The sequence below is a fragment of the Homo sapiens genome, chromosome 3 (genome assembly GCF_000001405.40).
Source record: "Homo sapiens chromosome 3, GRCh38.p14 Primary Assembly".
Classification (NCBI taxonomy): domain Eukaryota; kingdom Metazoa; phylum Chordata; class Mammalia; order Primates; family Hominidae; genus Homo; species Homo sapiens.
The window spans coordinates 178,963,618-178,983,953 of record NC_000003.12 but is presented as its reverse complement, the minus strand read 5'-3'; the positions used below and the strand labels follow the sequence as shown (position 1 = coordinate 178,983,953).

At 37.5% G+C, this 20,336-nt stretch overlaps 1 long non-coding RNA gene across 3 annotated transcripts in view, besides 1 other annotated feature; it reads left to right on the top strand.

Annotated features, from left to right (window-relative positions):
* Positions 1 to 20,336, top strand: part of LOC124906307 (uncharacterized) — a 97,668-nt gene that overhangs the window by 22,080 nt on the left and 55,252 nt on the right. The window contains exons 2-3 of one of the 3 annotated variants that reach the window (XR_007096177.1): positions 16,996 to 17,075; positions 18,458 to 18,509. This is a non-coding gene — a long non-coding RNA (uncharacterized LOC124906307). Of the gene's footprint in view, positions 1 to 1,488; positions 1,586 to 16,995; positions 17,076 to 18,457; positions 18,510 to 20,336 lie in introns of all 3 variants that reach the window. The other 2 variants (XR_007096178.1, XR_007096179.1) reach the window with 2 other exon arrangements.
* Positions 12,036 to 12,236: a silencer, noted in NCBI's record as "peak4949 fragment used in MPRA reporter construct". NCBI's record gives its function as "represses an SCP1 promoter by STARR-seq MPRAs in K562 erythroleukemia cells {active_cell/tissue: K562}" and the evidence as "EXISTENCE:reporter gene assay evidence [ECO:0000049][PMID:32103011]".

The window sequence follows — 20,336 nt, the reverse complement described above, 5'->3', positions numbered from 1 at the left end:
ACAGAGGGGCAATTCCTCAAGGATCCAGAACCAGAAATACCATTTGACCCAGCAATCCTATTTCTGGGTATATACCCAAAGGATTATAAATCATTTTACTATAAGGACACATGCACACGTATGTTTATTGCAGCACTATTCACAATAGCAACGACTTGGAACCAACCCAAATGCCCTCAATGATAGACTGGATAAAGAAAATGTGGCACACATACACCATGGAATACTATGCAGCCATAAAAAGGATGAGTTCATTTCCTTTGCAGGGACATGGATGAAGCTGGAAACCATCATTGTCAGCAAACTAACATAGCAACAGAAAACCAAACACCGCATGTTCTCACTCATAAGTGGGAGTTGAACAATGAGAACACATGGACACAGGGAGGGCAACATCACACACCAGGGCCTGTCAGGGGGTTGGGGGGTAAGGGAGAGATAGCATTAGGAGAAATACCTAATGTAGATGATGAGTTGATGGGTGCAGCAAACCACCATGGCACGTGTATACCTATGTAACAAACCTGCACATTCTGCACATGTATCCCAGAAGTTAAAGTATAATAATAAAAAGAAAATGTAAAACTGAAAAAAAAAAGTTGGAAAGTAAAATTACATTTTTTTACTTCCCAGTCGTGGCTGTTTTTTGTATTTGGTTTTGTCAAAAAATTGTTTGCCATAGTATTACTAGATCATCCTTTTTTTATGGAACAAAACTAAAAGCTCTTCAGTTGTGACAATTATCTCTAGAAGCCTTTCAATAGAAAGGAGATTTAGATATGGCTACTTTTTTTTTCTTTCAATGTCTTCTAGGAGCCAGACACTGGACTATGTATTTAGGCATTTATCATTTAATTTAACTCATCCGATGGTACAAAAGATAAAATAAGAATGAAGAATAAAAGATAAGTTCTGAAGACACTGAGAGTGCTCTTTGGGCTTCATGAACTCTTGAGATTGAGGTTGTAGTTCCCAAAATTCAGTGTGCATTAAGATCCTTGGGGTGCCTGCTCAAAACAGGAATTTTTTAGCCTCACCCTAAGTGATTTGGTTTAAGTAAACCTGGGATGGAGTTCAGAGATCTGCATTTTGAACAAACAACAGTTAACCTTGATACAGGGGACCCACACTCGTTAGAGAGAATGTTTTGTTTTAAAAGTAAAGAAAATGAAAATAACATGTTCTTTTAATGCTTAAATTAACTTATTGCTGGAATTATTAAAATGAGAAACCTCCAAAGTTTTGGTACTTTAAGTCAGATTTATTCATTTTTGAGGTGGTAAGTCTTGAACCTGAAAGAGAAGCCACTGTGAGGGAAAGGGATTATAAACTCATTTAAAGAGATGGAGTTTCAAGTTTATAGAATGTTAACTCTAAGGGAAATTGCTAAACTGTATTTTTATCTGTTAAATGCTTGGAAAGTTGAATTTCACTTTTACTTATTATTATTATCATTTTTCTCCAAATACCTTTTCTTATTCCTTAAAGATCTGAAAGGTCAATGGTGTAGTGGAAAGCGTGTAGATGTTGGCATTAGACCCAAGTTAAACCTCAGACCTTCCAGTTACAGACGGTGTCATCATGAGTAAGTTAAACTCTCAGAACTTTTGGTTCCTCATTGGCAAAACCTGTGTCATAACTACCTCAGAGTGTTACGTGGCTATCCACTGCAATAACTGATAGGAAATTCCCCAATACTGCCTGATACTTAATAAGTGCTTACTACATTTTCCCTGAGTGTGGCAATCAAACATATTGTAGACTAGCTTTTTCTCTCCCCTAATTTCCAATTATATGCTGACGTACATTTAAACCTTATTGCATCTTAGTTTGCTTGTTTCCAGTATGTTAATTTAGTCAACTCTGAGAGAGTTTTAGCATGTGGTGATGGCTAAGTTTTTGTAATATTTTTACTTGTATCCCTAGCACTCTTTATTTCTGTTCATTTTCATCTAATTCATACATATTCATTTGCTGATACATTGGTTTGTGATATTCTTTAAACATTTCATATGCTTATCAACTGAAGTATTATTATAAGTAATAAAGTTTAGATTTCTCAGAGTCCTCAGGCTGGTGGTGACCACTCAGATTCTTCAACTCATTCAGAAATATGCATTGAGAAAAAAAAAAGAAAAGAAAGACATAGGCATTGAGCAATAAGGAGAACCAAACTAATGAGTAGATAATTATATTTCAGATAGGTAATTCAAAGAGAACACTGGAATTCAGCAGAAAAGTGATGGGAAATATTGAAAGCAAGGAAGACAAACCCACCCATTCCAGCTTTGCCTGCCCCTCCCCCCATGCCAGAGCATGCAGTCTAGGGACCTGGGGATTGCCTGTCTCATTTCACCACTGTTGGAGCCTGAGTTCTCTTCCTAGGGGCCTGAGGTTGGGCCTATATACCTTGCCACCACCATGACAGCTGGTACCAACATGCACACACCATCTGATATATCCAAAGTGCTGAAAGAAAAGAGACTGCTAGCCAAGTATGTTATATCCAACAAAGTTATCCTTCATAAATGAAGGAGAAAGAAAGTCTTTCCCAGACAAACAAAAGCCAAGAGAATTCATCACCACTAGTCTGGTCCTATAAGAAATGCTGAAGAGAGTTCGACACCTGGAAGTAAAGGAAGATTATTTACCATCATTAAAACATCTGACATTGTAAAAATCATGGGTAGAGAAACTACACAAACAAGGAGGAGAAACAACACAAATGTTAACACTATGGGAAAACCACCAAAACACAATGATAAACAATAACAGAGAGGATATGCAAAACAATCAGAGATATTGTTTTGTATTATCTGTCATTTAGTAAAATGATAGAAATAAACTTTCACATAATAACCTTTAACATAAACAGATTAAACTTTGCATTTAAAATATATAGACTGGATACATGAATGTAAAAACATGACCCCACTATATGCTGCTTATAAGAAACTCATTTCACCTGTAAAGACACATGCAGACTGAAAATAAAGGGGTTGAAAAAAGTATTCCATGCAGATAAAAACCAAAAGCAAGCAGGAGTAGCTATATATATATATCAGATAAAAATAGACTTTGTGTAAAAGACAGCAAAAAAGAGAAAGAAGGTAATTGCATGATGACAAAGGAATCAATTCAGCAAGAGAGTAAAATTCTAAACATGCATGCATGTTTAAAAGGTTGCTATGAAAAAAATATATGCACTCAACACTGGAGTACCCAGATACATAAAGCAAATATTATTAGATGTAAAGGAAGAGATGGACTTCAATACAATAATTGTTGGGGACTTCAGCCCCACACTCTGATTGTTATACAAATCATCTAGACAGAAAATTCACAAAGAAATATTGGACTTACATTGCACTTTAGACCAAATGGATGTAACAAACATTTACAGAACATTGCATCCAACAGTTGCAGAATTCTCCTCACCACCGTACGGAACATCCTCCAGGATAGGAAAGATGTTAGGACACAAAGCAAACTCAACAATTTAAAAAAATCAAAATCATATCAAATATCTTCTCAGACCACAGTAGAATAAAACTAGAAAACAACAACAAGAGGAATGTTAGAAACTATAGAAATACATGGAAATTAACAATATATTCCTGAGTGACCACTGGGTCAAGGAAAATATTAAGGAGGAAATTAATAAAATCTTAAATGAAATTTGAATCACAACTTACCAAAACCTATGGGATACAGCAAAATCAGTGCTAAGAAGGAATTTTATAGCAATAAACATCTGCATCAGGCTGGGCGTGGTGGCTCACGTCTGTAATCCCAACACTTTGGGAGGCCGAGGTGGGTGGATCACGAGGTCAGGAGATCGAGACCATCCTGGCTAACATGGTGAAACCCCGTCTCTACTAAAAATACAAAAAAAATTAGCCAGGCGTGGTGGCGGGCACCTGTAGTCCCAGCTATTCGGGAGGCTGAGGCAGGAGAATAGCATGAACCCGGGAGGCAGAGCTTGCAGTGAGCAGAGATCATGCCACTGCACTCCAGCCTCGGTGACAGAGCAAGACTCCGTCTCAAAAAAAAAAAAAAAAAAAAAAAAAATCTGCATCAAAAAGGTAGAAAGATTTCAAATACTTAATCTAATGATGCACCTCAAGGAACTAGAAAAGCAAGAACAAACCAACCTCAAATTAGTAGAAGGAAAGAAATAATAAAGATCAGAGTAGAACTAAATGAAATAGAGACTAAAAAATAAAAGGAAGCAACAGAATGAAAAATTGGTGTTTAGAAAAGATAAACAAAATCAATAAACCACGTGTTAGACTCACCAACAAGAAAATTGCTGGGCATGGTGGCCATGCCTGTAATGCCAGCACTTTGGGAGGCCGAGGCAGCAGGATTGCTTGAGCCCAGGAGTTCAAGGCCAGCCTAGGCAACACAGTGAGAGCCATTTCTACAAAAAAAAAAAAAAAAAAAAAATAGCTGGATGTGGAGGCATGAGCCTCTAATCCCAGCTACTCAGGAGGTCGAGGTGAAAGGATTACTTGAGCTCAGGAGGTTGAGACTGCAGTAAGCCCTGATTGCACCACTGTACTCCAGTCTGGGTGACAGAGCACAAAACTGTCCCCCAAAATAAATAAATAACAAAAATGTGATCTGATGAGAATTGCAAAATTTCGAGATAGTAAGAAACCAATAAATGAAAAAGATATATCATGTCTTGTGATAGGAAAGTTAATTTATAGATTTAATGATGTTTTCATGGAAATGTTAATGGGAGTTTTGACAAAATTATTCTGAATTTCACATGAAAAGTGAATAAATAAGAATAGTCATGAAAATGTTGATAAAGAACAGTAATGATGAGTGGAGGGGATGAAAGATGTCTTACAGCTATGTATTAATATATATTTTAAAACTAACATAATTAGTAAGTGTCAGACCAGTAGAATAGAATAGAAAGCCTGGAAGCAGACAAAACAGTAAAATAATTTCACATATGATAGAAGTAGCATCCAAATCACTAGAGAAAGGCTGCATTGTTTTGTAAGTAGTGCTTGAGCAACTTGTTAAATAGGGGGAAAATTAGATTTTAGTTCTTGCTATAAATCAAATAAATTCTTAGTTTATTGGAGAAGCAAATGTAAAAATATTAAGCAATAAAAACTTGAATAAAATATGGTCAATATCTTACTTCAGGTAACAAAGAAAAATTGGGTGAACTACATGAAAATGAAGTTTCTGTACTCCCAGTAGAGGCCAAAGCAATTCCATCTTGGGAGCAAATCCACCATGTTGGCTTCTGACTAGCCCCTGTTCTGGCCTCTCAGATTTCCAGTTTACCTATTGTTCCTTGTGTAAAAGCACGTACTTAATGTAAATCCTGCCTTTAGGTCAAGCAACCTCGGTGTTATCGTACTTCAGCTGTCCTACACATTCCTTCTGAACCACCCCTTCTCTATGGTATAGAAGCCCTGGGTCTGAGGGATAATGGTGTAGGGATCCTCCATCTTGTCTCACTACCACCTGAGACGCAGACATAGCTTCTGTTAGCAAGTTGTTATTAAATGTTTCTTTCTAAGGAACTGGATACATCAGTCTCTTTTCTTTGGCCTTTCAGCCTCCTTGGACTTTGGGGTAGGTTTGCATAGGCCTGCCCATCTTGAAACACTCCCCAGATTGCTTCAAACAGGTTTTAAAACATACTATTAATAATAATAGCCATAGAATACATGACAAACCAAAATTAATCTCTTTCACATATGCAGGGTTTTAATAAGTAAATTAGAAAACAAATATTACAGTAGAAAAGTGAGCAAAGAATATAAACAGATAATTCACAAAAAGGAAATACAAATACCAATAATCCTATGGAAAATATTTGCCTTCAACAGTAATAAAAAATGAAAAAATAAACCAAAACAACCAGTTAACATTTAAAAATCTTTCATATTGGCAATACTTTTTTAAAAAAAGCCTGAGAAACATAGGAAGACCACATCTCTACAATAATAATAAAAAGTATTAGCCAGAAGTTGGGGGGCGGGGGTGTGCCTGTGATCTCAGCTACTAGGGAGGCTGAGATGGGAGGCTTGCCTAAGCCTGGGAGGTTGAGGCTGCAGTGAGCTGTGATCACACCACTATACTCCAGCCTGGGTGACAGAGCGAGAACTTGTCTCAAATAAAAATTAATGATGTCTAATATTGATGAAAATATTAGATAAATGTGTATTGCTGTATATCTTAAGTAAATTAGCACAGTGTTTCTAGAATAAAATTTGGAATTTTAAATCAAGATACATTAATCCTTTGCCTCACTTATGAAACCAAGAACTTTTCATAAAGAAAAATAATCAGAGATGTTCCAAGATTTACATACAAGGATGTACATTAGAACCCAACAGGACAATGGTAAAGTAAACCATAATACATTGCAGAAACCTGCATAAAAAGAAATAAATTTGTTGTATTCCTGTATGCATGCCATTTGCCATGTGACTTTGCAGTTCCTCACAAAAAGAGATGAAGCCTATGTCTTCACTTTTTGATTCTGGGGATGGTCATGTGACATGTTAGTGTACAATGGTACTTTATCAAACATGATGTAAGTAAGCAGAGGCTCAAAATATGCTGTGCATTGAGATTTGGCCTCTCTTGCTGCTGGAAACCCTTTCATTAATTACCACCTGAAAATGCCTGGGCTAGCTTCTTGGAAGATGAGAGACCAGGTGTAGAGAGGCTCCCACTGTTCTAGCTATCCCCGCCTTCCCAGCTGACGCCTCAGATATGTAAGTAGGGCCATCTCGAATGGCCCATACCAGAGGTGTCCAGCTACCCACATAACTGTGAGCAATAATAAATCTTCATTATTTTATTTTATTTATTATTACTATTTTTTGAGATGGAGTTTTGCTCTTGTCACCCAGGCTGGAGTGCAATGGCACAATCTTGACTCACTGCAATTTCCACCTCCCAGGTTCAAGGGATTCTGCTGCCTCAGCCTCCCGAGTACTGAGATTACAGGTGCACATCACCACACCCAATTAATTTTTGTATTTTTAGTAGAGATGGTTTCGCCATGTTGGCCAGGCTGGTCTCAAACTCCCGACCTCAGGTGATCCACCTGCTTCAGCTTCCTAAAGTGTTGGGATTACAGGCATGAGCCACTGCACCCAGCTGTTATTTTAAACCATTAGGTTTTGAGGCAGTTTGTTATACAGCAGAAGTTAACAGACATATAAATCTCAAGAGTGGCAAACTCAAATGGCTTTAGTGGTCAGCAGGTAACATAGATATATAAAATGTCTTTCTGTTTATTTAGATTATTTGGTTTCTGTTATCGGCATTTTGTAGTTCGTTGCATACGAGTCCTGTACATAACTTATTAGGTCTACATAAACATCAGTACAGATGGTTCCTGACTTATGATGCTTCAACTCATGATTTTTGGACTTTATGATGGGTTTATCAGGACTTAACCACATCATAAATTGAGGAGCTCCTTGCAACTTATGATGGGGTTACTATTCCTAGTGAATATGTATTGCTTTTGCACTATTGTAAAGTGGAAAAATCATAAGTTGAAATATTGTAAGTAGGAGACTGTCTGCTGTGTTGCCAGCAATGAATGCATTTTTGCTTTATGATATTTTTGACTTATCATAGGTTTATCAGGAGGTAACCCCATTGTAAGTCAAGGAGTATTTGTATTTCATTTTTTGAGTTGTTGTAAATGACTTTATATTTCTAATTTGTGTCCATGTATTCATTGCTAATACGTAGAAAAACAGTTGATTTTTAATATATATATCTTGTATCCTGAAAACTTGCTGAACTCATTTAATAGTTCTAGGAGTATTTTTTAGTAGATTCAATGAAATGTTCTATGTAGATAATCACATCGTCTGCAAATAGGGACAGTTTTATTTCTCCCTACAAGTTCTGTATGCTTTGTATTTCCTTTTCTTGCCTTGTTGTATTGGTTTGAACTTCCGTCACTGAGTTGAATGAGAGTAGTGGAGTTGCCTTGTTTCTAATCTTAAGGGAAAGACACTCAGTCTTTCACTGTTAGGCAAAATGTTAGCTGCAGTTTTTTGAATAGATTTTTTTTTAATCAAGGTAAAAGAAGATTCCTTTATTCCTGTTTTTTTTCTGAGAGTTTTTATTATAACTAAGTGTTGATTTTTGTCAAATGCTTTTTCTGCATTGATTGATATGGTTTCTTCTTTTCAGTCTCTTAATGCAGTAGAGTACATTTATTGACTTTCAGATATTAAACTAACGTTGCAACCATGGAATAACTTATGTCAGTTTACTGGAATTGTCCTTTTACTAGTACAAGTCCTTTTACTAGTGAAAGTGTCCTTTTACTAGCACTAGTCCTTTTACTAGTAAAAGTATCTTTTTACTAGTATTACTTTCACTAGTAAAAGTGTCCTTTTACTAGTACACGTCCTTTTACTAGCACTAGTACAAGAAACCATGGTCAGAAAGGAGTGACTCAACATTCAGTCATTCAAATGACAAACTTTTACTAGTGAAAGTAGTACTAGTAAAAAGATACTTTTACTAGTAAAAGGACTAGTACTAGTAAAAGGACAGTTTCACTAGTAAAAGGACTTGTACTAGTAAAAGGACAATTCCAATAAACTGACATAAGTTATTCCATGATTGCAACGTTAGTTTAATATCTAAAAGTCAATCAATGTAATCTACTGCATTTCTCTCATTGCTTTTAATTATTTTTCTTTGTTTTGGGAAGTTTGAGTATGATGTCTCTTGGTGTAGATTTCTTTGGTTTATCCTGTTAAGGATTTTATCAGCTTCTTGAATTTGTAGCTTTATGTCTTTTGCCAAATTTTAGAAGTTTTTAGTCATTATTTCTTTGAGTCCTTTTTCAGCACAACTTCTTTCTTCTCTTTTCCAAACTCTGATGACACTAATATTTCCTCTTTTGTTTTTTCCCAAATATCTCTGAAGCTGTATTTATTTTCTTTTTCTTTCTTTCCTTCCTTCCTTCCCTCCTTCCTTCCTTCCTTTTTTTTTAAATTTTGAAACAGAGTTTCACTCTTGTTGCCCAGGCTGGAGTGCAATGGCATGATCTCAGCTCACTGCAACCTCTGCCTCCCGGGTTGAAGCAATTCTCCTGCTCAGCTTCCTAAGTAGCTGGTATTATGGGCACCTACCACCACACCTGGCTAATTTTTGTATTTTTAATAGACAGGGTTTCTCCATGTTGTCCAGGCTGGTCTTAAACTCCTGACCTCACGTGATCCATCTGCCTCAGCCTCCTAAAGTGCTGGGATTATAGGCATGAACCACCACGCCTGGCCATATTTATTTCTTAAAATTACATTTCCTTCAGGTTGTTCAAACTGGATAATTTCTATTGTTCTATCTTCCATTTCATGAATTCTTTCCCCTGTCCTTTCCATTATGCTATTGTATTGGTCCATTTTCACACTGCTGATAAAGACATACCCAAGACTGGGCAATTTGCAAAAGAAAGGTTTAATGGACTTACAGTTCCACGTGGCTGGGGAAGCCTCACAATCATGGTGGAAGGCAAGGAGGAGCAAGTCACATCTTACGTGGATGGCAGCAGGCAAAGAGGGGGTTTGTGCAGGGGAAACTCCCTCTTATAAAACTGTCAGATCTCATGAGACTTATTCACTTTCACCAGAACAGCACGGGAAAGACCTGCCCCCATGATTCAATTACCTCCTACCAGGTCCTTCCCACAACATGTGGGAATTCAAGAGGAGATTTGGGTGGGGACACAGCCAAACCATATCAGCTGCTGACTTCATCCACTGAGTCTTTTCATTTTAGCTATTGCATTTTTAAGTTCTAAAATTTTCATTTTACTTCTTTATGTATTCTGTTTCTTCACTAAGACTCCTTCCTCAATATTTTCATTTGTTTCAAGTGTGTTTGTTATTACTCATTGAAACATTTTTATGACTGATGCTTTAAAACATTTGTCAGATAATTCTGCCATCTCTGTCATCTCACAGTTGGCATCTCTTGATTATGTTTTTCATTCAGTTTGATATCTTCCTGTTTCTTGATATGACAGGTGACTTTTGATAAAAATCTGGATATTCATGGTATTGTAAGAATGTGTGGATCTTATTTAAACCTTCTGTATTTGCTGGCTTTCTGAAACACTGCTTTAGCAGAGAAAGGGCAGCTGAGCCTTGTTACTGCCAGGTGGGGGTGGAAGTCCAGGTTTCCCACTTGACACCTGTTGACACTTAAGGAGAGGGCTCCTTATTACTGCTGGTCAGGGTGAAAATTCTGGCTCCCATTAGATCTCTTCTGATACCTGCCTATCTGGAAGGTGTAGGAGTGCCTTGTTACTCCTCACATAGTCTTCACTGACACTATGGGAGGAAGGTGGCCTCATTACCTCTGGACATTGGTGAAAATTCTGATTCAGTGGTTTGCCTCCTCTCACATTCACCAGTGGGGATGGTAGGGAGCTCATTACTGGCCAGTGGGGATAAGAGTTCAGGCTCCCCACTTGGCCTTCTCTGATGCAACACTGGTAGGGGTGTTGGGATACATTATTATAGCCTGGTGATGGTGGAAATCTAGGTTCCCCATTCAGCCTTTGTTGGCACGGACAGGATTGGGGTACAGTTTTTTTCTGTTGTGTTTGGCTGCAGTAAAACAATTTTTATCTAAACACTTTCTGTCTTGCTTGCCTGCTCCTTTCCTGGTCCTTTGGCTAGACAGCATGCATTTTGGGGCTTTAAGAAAAAAAATCTACACTTGGTGTTTACTGTATGGCTGTCTTCTTTAGCTCTGAGTCTGGGATATATAAAAACAGAAAGACCAAGGTACTCAACATGTCATTCCTCAAGTCTTGAGTTTCCTAGCCAGACCTCAGGGTCTGCCTTCTTTTCTCCTCCTTTTTGAGTATTCTTACGTTTGTTTTACATATAATATCCAGGGCTTTTAGTTATATTAGCAGTAGGAATAGGAAAAAGCACATTGCCTTCCTCCCAGAAACAGAGGTCCAGAGCTTTTAAAACACATATGTCCACAAAACTAATGTAAACTATGAGCTATAGTGGCTGTTTTTACTTAAAATTTTATTATGGGGATTTTCTTTAGGCTATATGTTCCTGAAAAAATGCTCCTTTAAATTATTGTACAATATAACATTGGTTCAGTGGGCTCTAACTTATTCAACTGATCCCTTTTTTTTTGACATTTAGACCATTTTTAATTCCTCGCTAGTATAGGTAACACTAAGTGAACATTAACTCATAATATTCATCCAATTCTCTAATTGTTTTCTTAGGATATGTTTCTAGAAGGGGAGTTGCTAGATTAGAGAGTATACAAACATTTAAAGCCCCTTGATAAATATTTGTTTCCAGAAAGATGGTACTAATTTTCATGCCTAAAAGTAGTGTATGAGAATGCCAGGCTTACCATACTCTAAAGTTGAATACTATCACTTAAAAACTATTGCTGATTTAAAAGGCAGAAAGAATGTTTTTAAATGTTAAATAGGGTGTCTTTAGTAGTGAGGCTGAATTTCACTACAATGCTATTTTAATAAACTCACCAACAACATGGGAGTTTAAAAAGTAGTTTACCATATTCATGAAATTTAAAGCTTGATAATATATAAAAATCTACCTATGTGGTAAAATTACACAGAACTATACACATACACAGAAACACATACAAATGAGTGAATGAAAATAAAACAGGTGAAATCTGAATAAGGTCTGTAGGTTGTACCAATGTCAATTTCTCGATTTTGAAATTATACTATTGTTTTATAAATTGTTACCTTTGGAGAAAACTGACTGATGGGTATATGGGACCTCTTTAAACTATTTTTGTGACTTCATGTGAACCTGTAATTATTTAAAAACTAAAGTTAAACAAATGTTGATAATATTATCTTCTATTTTATTTTAATAAACCTTTTTTTGGAGTGTCTGAACATCTGGCTCTTGAACTAGTTTCCTTCTAAGTTTCTCTGCTTGGATCAGGGACAAGTGAAGACTCTATTCTAGTTGTCACAGCTGAATCTGATATGGACACTTGTCCTTGCCCATGGGGAGGCCTCACTCCTGTTGGGCATATCATATCACTGGCCACGACATTGCTGATAAGCAGAGCTGAGCAGTAGTTTCACCTCAGGCAATTTGATCTTGCTTCATGTCTTGTTCCTGACTCATACCTGCACTTGGAGTTTCTACTTCCCACTTCACTATTCTGCTAGGTGGACACTGTTTCTCCTGTCATTTGATCCTGCTTGAAAACTGAATCTGTTTTGTCTCTTACTTTTTTCAGAAGAGGATCTTGTAATTGTCTATATAACCTGTGACATTGGGGTTTATAAATAATATTGATAGGATGGTCTCTGATCAAAAATGAGAAAATGTATATAAAATAATTAAATTTTAAAAGAGTAAATCATTTTTAAAAGACTATAATAATAGCAAGGAAAAGTTTCACCTAAAAATAAAATAATGCCTAAGAATATTCTTAGGCTGTTAGGATTTTGCCTGTCAGGCAGAACCAGGGTCAGGACCTGAAAGGTTGCCTTTGAATTATATTTGCTCCTATCCTAATAAAAATCCAAATATAACTTTGACAATGCTGATTTGTGTAATATATAAAACATGCTCACTTAGACATCAAAGTTTATGTACCTTTTAGTTATGTTCCCAAAGGACAAAATTGACAAAATATTTTATCTAATTGATTATTTCAAATAGCATTAAAATTTAGATTCAGCATATTAACTATCTTCCCAGGTACATTTTACTTGGAAAAATATCAGGAATATGTGCAGGATTTCAGTATTGAGATTACATAAGAAAGTGTAGTCCTGTGAAACAAATGAAAAATATTGGGTTTAAGCTCATGTAGGGACCAAGGGAAGGCTTCCCTTTTGTGTTCTGCAGGTTCACTGAATATCACTGACAAAGGCATATTAATCAAAGAAAAGACATACAAATTTATTTGATCACAGTTTTATGTGACACAGGAACCTTTAGAATAAAGACCCAAAGCAGGGAAAACTGTCCAGTTTTATGCTTAGGTTTAACAAAGTATGGACAACCATGTGCAAATATGATTGGACAAAAAGGGTATCATTTAATGCTAATAGAGTGAGTAGGGAAACCCAATAAAGCCTATCTGTCTAGATTATTTTTCTTCTTTTTTTTTTTTTTTTTCTTAATGAGACGGAGTTTTGCTCTTGTCACCCAGGCCGGAGTGCAATGGCGCGACCTCAGCTCACTGCAACCTCCACCTCCCGGGTTCAAGCGATTCTTCTGCCTCAGCCTCCCGAGTAGCTGGGATTACAGGTGCCGGCCACCACGCCCGGATAATTTTTGTATTTTTAGTAGAGACAGGGTTTCACCATGTTGGCTAGGCTGGCCTCGAACTCCTGACCTCAGGTGATCTGCCTGCCTTGGCCTTCCAAAGTGTTGGGATTACAGGCGTGAGCTACTGTGCCCGGCCTGTCTAGATTCTTCTTGGCCTCTCTGTGCATGCATTCCTTCCTTCTGGGTGTGGGGCAAGACACTCTCTGGAATTGGGGGTGGGGTCTTATAACCTATGATTGAACAACTAGGCTAGATAGTTTCTTTATGGCAGATTTTTACATAGAAAGGTGGGAGGAAAGTTAGAGCAACATGTTCAGGTTTTATGGCTGGCTATGGGGAAAAAGGGTTCTGGTTTCTATAGCCCACTTTGGAGAAGAAGATTCCAGTTTCTATGACTAGCCTTAGGGGAGAATAAAAAGGCAAAGACAGGAGGGTAGGAAGTTAGAGGAAAAACTTTGGGTTCTGAGGCCTTTATTTTGGGATATCATTTTCTGAGCCCCAGCACTTAGTATTCAAAAAATGTAAGACTGCCTTGGTAGTGACCTTCTGGACACTGGGAACTTTCAATGAAAGATTATAGGGATTATTACTGGAATCCACCTGGAATAAGAATCTACATCCTTAAAATATTTTCTGGGAATCTGTGATCCTATGTCACTTAGTTCAGCCTTTGGAAGAATATGTCTCACGAATTTACAGAATTTACACCTTTCTCTTGTTAAGCCTTGGTAGCCAGACTTTCTGTTTGGAAGTGCCTTTTCAGATAAGACCTAAATCTCCCTTGATATATGGAGCCTCCTAGAGCCAATCTGTCTTTCCAAAGCTGAATATGAAAAGTTTCCAGGCACTGCCACGTTATTGATGACTTCCATTACCCTTTGACGACTTAAATGACAGCCCTGCTGGGGAGAAAAACAAACACAATGGAGCTTCTCTTTCTTCTCCATTTTGCAATCGTACACACTCTTCAGTCTTCTACTTTACTTTTGAAAAATGTCTGTAGTCACTTCTGTCTACTCTTTCACTTCTGAAATGATTTTGAAATTGTTTTTTTTGAGTAAACATCTGAACTCAGGGGCCCGGGACTACTGTTGGTTGGCCCAATTGACAGCCATTAATTTAGTGAACCTCTTATTCATTTCATCTATGTCCATGAAAATTACCAGCAAGTTCAGGGTCAGGAGGGTGTGTAAGCATTCATACACAGTGTGTATGTGTGTCTGTGTTGTGTTTGGTGTGTGATAGAGAACTGATTGATAACAATCGGCCCTATGATCCTCCCCTTTCTGGGTGTCCTAGAAGATGGGCTAAGGGTATGATGAGAGAGGGGTGTTGAGCTTTCCAAGTTAATGCTGTAAGTATTTATTAGAGGGGTAGATTATGGAAGAGGATAGAGTCCATATTTAGCTAGCGTCTTCAAAGAGGAACTGATACCTTCAAGTGAAAGAAAATGTGCATGTTGCCTTATAGAGGCGTTCTTCCTGGCAGGTGACATGCTGTGGCTTTTTATAGAAATGCCTAAATGTCTCAATTATTCTTGCTTTATTTAAATTTTTTCTTTCTTAAAAATAGGATAAATAATAACAGTGACTGCTTATTACAGAAGAAGGTGATTAACTAATGAATTTAAACTTACTTGAAGTTTCTGGAGAAGACTGCTTTGGAAGAAAAAGGCCTATTAGTGTTAAAACTATTAATTATCTTCTAAATAATAATTGTTTATAGATGATTATCAGTGAATTCTAGGACTTGAGCCTCTCTTCCCCCATTTAAAAAATTAAATACATATGTGCAGATTAAATATCTATGTCTTTCATACGCAGCTATCAATTTTGGAGTCCTTGTTGGGACTGGAGGTCAATAGGAGTCACCTTCTTATGGTTTTACATTACCTCTGACATTGCAGATAAATTCACAGTCAAGGAAGTGCTTTTGCAGAAGTTTTCTTAGGTCTTGCAGAAACCTAGTGAAGAACGGTGAGGATTAGCCATGGGGGTTTGGAGTTTGCCACTCCGTGACTCTGCCATTCAATGAGCTCAAGCCTCTGGTCCTGACTCATCTTGTCTGTGCTTCTCCCATCATCCCTCTGCCCCTGCCTGTGGAGAGGTTGGGGTCTGCTTTGCGCCATTGTCTCCTCACTCCCAAGTCTTATCCGTGGTGACTGGGTCTATGCCGGAGAGGAGGAGTCCTCTCATTTGAACTGTGGCATCTTAAGGCTCTATGTGACTATTTTGCAAATGTTCTTAATGATAGGTTTAGAGTTTTCTTTCTTTTCTCTTCCTATACCCTTTCCTCTTCATTTCCTATAGGGCAAAAAGAGTGAAGATAGTAAAGAGTGAATCCTATAGATTTGATTATTTTCCATTAATAATCCAACAGAGTGTGTGGCACATGGTAGATGTTCAATAGACAGCTGATAAATTAATGAATGAATAACCACACTCATATCCACACTGGAAGGTGGTGTATATGGTTGTAGAGTGTGAGCTCTGGAGTCAGACTACCTGGGTTTGAATTTCAGATTTAGTAGCTAGGAGACTTTAGGCAGGTTACTTAGTTTCTCTGCCTCAGTTTTCTTATCTGTAAAGTAGGGATAAAATTCTCTCTCTTGAATTTCTTGTGAAGAGTAAATGAGTTAGTAAGTAATAAGGGCTAAGAATAGTGCCTAATACATATTAAGTACTCAATAAATGCTATTAAAGTATATTTCCATATGTAATCTCATTTTATCCTAACAACTATTTGGTGACATAAATGAGACAGGTATTTCTGGACCTAATAGCTGAGGAATCTCAGGTTCACAGGACTGCTAAGCAGTAGAGGGATGTCTAACATTCATTCTGATTCCAAGGTCTGATTTTTCTAGATTGAAGTTATTTGTTTAGTTTTGAAGGTGATTAAAAGACATTTAAAAAGAAAAGCAATTAGCTTTGATTTCAGTAAAGGTTATGGGTCTTGTAAAAGGTCAAAATCACTTTCTGTGGTTGAATGAGATGAAAAGAGGTTGAATGAAGTAACAAAGATAAGAACTGGTGCTACAGAAATAATGAGTCGTTATCAAAACACCTCAGTGTCTCGGGGAAGAGCGAAAGAAGCACTTTGGAATAACCAAGAGAAAGAATTAATCAATCTGATTTAAAACTGAATAATACCTTCTTTATTTTTCAGTGTTAGCACTGAGCTTTTGCTGAAAATTCACTTTGCTCTAAAATGGCCTAATTTTTCCTTTTAATTTGCATTTCCTTCCTGCCCAGATGCGACTGGCAGCAGCCCAGTGGTAGTTCCACTAAAGCAACTGTGCTACAGCACCTCAATTTGGATCTCAGAGCTGTCCTTTTACATTTGCTTCTTTGCATAATTTGTCAAACTTTGTAAGTTGCACAGCAAAATTCTGCCAATAAAGAACAGGAAGTTTGGGTCATCCTTCTGGGTTTACTGTTTTATATTTGTTTTTTCAGCAACTGGAGTCAAGCTCTGGTGAAAGTATTAACACATTAGCAGTTTGGAATTGCGCTCAAGGCTTCTGTTCAATGAATATGAAAAAACTGAGCAACAAGGAGACTTGGGCACATTATTTATACATTTGGTGAGCTCATTCACTCGCCCAGGGAAATCAGGCAGCACAGCCGCCAGCCCAAGGTTAATTTTGTTTTCTTCTCAGCCAGGAACAGGGTGTGCTATTACACAGAGAGAAATGAGGACTTTTTAATTGGCAAAGAGGAACTTCTGCTGCATAAAGAGGTATTCCAATCACTGGAGGTCAACAGAAATTCTTTCAGATTTTAAAATCTTGCTGTGTTCAAAGTTTAATGCAAAATCCTTCAAATTGCTAGTATTCAAAAACCCTGCATTAACTGTTTAGAAACAGAAGAGGGCACCTCATCATTCCTTATGCCAAATTTATTTATTTATTTTTTTAAGCGTGAACAGGAAACTGGCTTGCGAATGAAAATGAAAAACCACTTCCTTTTCCTAATGAATGAATGAAAAGATTCTGTTAATATTTTTAAAAGCTTAACTATGAGTAGAAAAGCTGTATTCACTTTCTAGTTTCAAGAGACCTCAGAGTTTAAGTTGGAGACTAGCCATAAAAAGTTTAATTCTATTATAAAGTGGCTGTCAAATACAATGCATTTAGATTTTAAACCAAGAGCCGCCTGGATATCCTTCTTTTCTATTGGCTAGGTAACCAGTTAATTAGGGTAACTCCTCCTTTCTTCTTCTCCTCATGTTTGAATCCCAGTTTTTCTCAGAATTAAATCTTTCTAAGCATCAGTGAATCTTTTAAATTTTATGCAAAATGTGTTTGTGTATTTTTCTAGAGGAAGTTTGGAGTTTTAATCAAATTATCTACCCTTTCCTGGGTTAAAACTCCAGGAAGTTTCCATGTTTAATTCTACCTTATGCTAATTGAGATTTTACTCTATATTCTGTCATAATAAATACTATTAGAATAAAAACCTTAGGACTTTTCTAATAATTTAAACCATAACTGTTATGGAATGTAGCAACAAACCTTTTGATTGTCTTTGATATTCTTTGTATTAAGTTTTAGACAGAGTCAAAAGGAAACTTTTCAGTCTAACCTAATCACTTTAATTACTGGTCCTAGAGGGTAGCACTGATTTGTCCTGGGTTACACGAGCAGTGAGCATGAGAATTCAGAAGTAATAGACCGGTCTTTTACCTTTACATTCTTTTAGTCTATATTCTTTTCTCTGAGTCATGCTTGGTTGAAAATTTGCACTGATTCATACATTTATGGAATCCTTATATTGCTCTGCTCACACATATGAGTTGCTTTTTTTTTTTAAGAGTTGAGGGTCTCACTATGTTGCCCAGGCTGGAGTACACTGACTATTCACAGGTGAGTTCATCGCTCACTGCAGCCTTGAACTCTTGGTTTGAAGTGAGCCTCCCTCCTTAGCCTCCTGAATAGCTGAGACTATAAGCACATGCCACCATACCTGGCTTCTGTGTTGTTTTGTGTTTTATACTTTGGTAGATAGTTTTATTCTCTAAGTGAACAGTTTAAAAGCAGCAAAATGCATGTTGTTTCTTTTCCAAGTTGTCTTTGTATGTAAGTTCCCCTGATAAGCATTATGTCTTGTTCACGTCTCCAGGTCTCTTCTTCAGCCCTTGGACACAGTGTCATCCCTATTGGAGTCAATAAAGGTATGGCATGACATATGTATTCTGGGGATAGACTATTTTCACAAAGGACAGTTGTCAATTTCATTAACACTGTACCATACAGGAGTGTTTCTAGGGGGCAGTTGCTTTCTTATAATAATAATAGCAAACATGTATATAGTGTTTACTACTTACAAGACTGGGAAACACACAAACCAACAGACTGTTCTGTCCTACTATACTCTCAGCACAGAATATTTTTGTGGCCAGATGTGTACGGGTCTTTACACATATTTCAAGCAGCTCTCCAGCAGATATCAACTGGGTCTTCCACAATTCAATTCGATTTTGACACTGTCTACCTGAATAGCCCTTACAAGTTGAAGGCTCAGTCCCATACGACTGCTCTCATTTCAGACGCCAATCTCAAGTCTGGGCCCCCCATATTTCTGACTGACCAGCAATAAATTGGAGGTTCCCATGACCCCCTCTCAGGTTCAGTAATTTGCTAGAATGGCTCACAGAACTCAGGGAAACACTTTGCTTACAATTACCCATTTATTATAAAGGGCAGCACTCAAGGACAGCCAGATGGAAGAGATGCACAGGCTGAGTAGAGACGTGAGGGGCATCCCATCCTCCCAGCTCCTCTACACATTCAGCAACTGTGAAGCTTGTCAAATCTTGTTCGACAGCTTTGGAGAGCTTAATCTCTAGACCCCACTCCATTTCCTGGAGGTTGGTCAACAAGGCTGAAAGTTCCAACCCTCTAATCCCTTAATCACTTGGTCTTTCTGGGGACTGGCCCCATCCTGAGGTTATCTAGGGTTATCTAACTCACCTCATTAGCATGAACTCACGTGTTATTATAAAGGGGATCATTATGAATAATGAAAGACGTTCCTATCACTCAGGACTTCCAAAAATTTCAGAAGCCCTGCAACAAAAACTAGGAACAAAGACCAAATATATTTCTTATTATATCACACAAGCACTATTCTGGGCACTTAATTTCACTCTCAAACGACCCTATAATGTGGATACTATTATTATCTGCCTTTTATAGATAGAACAATAGAATCTCAGAGACATTAAGTAATTTACCAAAGATCACAAAATCCGTAGGTAGTGTAGGAGTGAAGGGAACGCTTCATCTCTGTCCACTGAGGATTTGCTGAAAATGAGCTGATAAAAGGCAGATTAATAGAAGAAAAAGGCATATAAAATGTATTCAACATGCATAAACACAGAAGCTACACACAAAATATGAGACTTAAGGAGGAGTCAGATGTTTGATTTTTAAATGTTGTCTTCATAGAGGAGAGATGTATGGACATAGAAGGCAGACATTATTTTGTAAATGATTCTCTTTGGAAGCTGGATGACAAGGTTCCAGGACGGAGAGGGGCAGAACTTCACAAGAACAAAGGTTGTCTTATTATGAAGATAAAGTCCCCAGGTAGTCTCTCAGAGCTGTCCTCAAAATAATATATGAAAAGTCTGTCTGGTTGTAATCATGACCCCGTCTCTTCTCCAGTGGTTAATCTTTCCTGGTTATTTGATGAGATTCCTAGGTAAGAGGTCTTAAGAAAATTGCATTGTCTTAAGAAGGAAAATTTGTTAGTCAGATAAAGAAATTCCAAAGAGGGTCCCTCTTAGTTCTTTGGGAAAGAGGATCAGAGGCCTAAGGAGGCAGGGGTCAGAGGGAGGGGGCTGGAGGTAGAAGGTTAGAGAGAACTTAAGGCTGCTTCTCCCGGCCAGCATGTCAAACCACCATATTTTGGGGCATCGCTTTTTGAACCCTAACAGTGGCAAAGTGAGGATTTGAACTTGAATAATCTGACTCTAGAAGAATCTGAGCACCTCCCC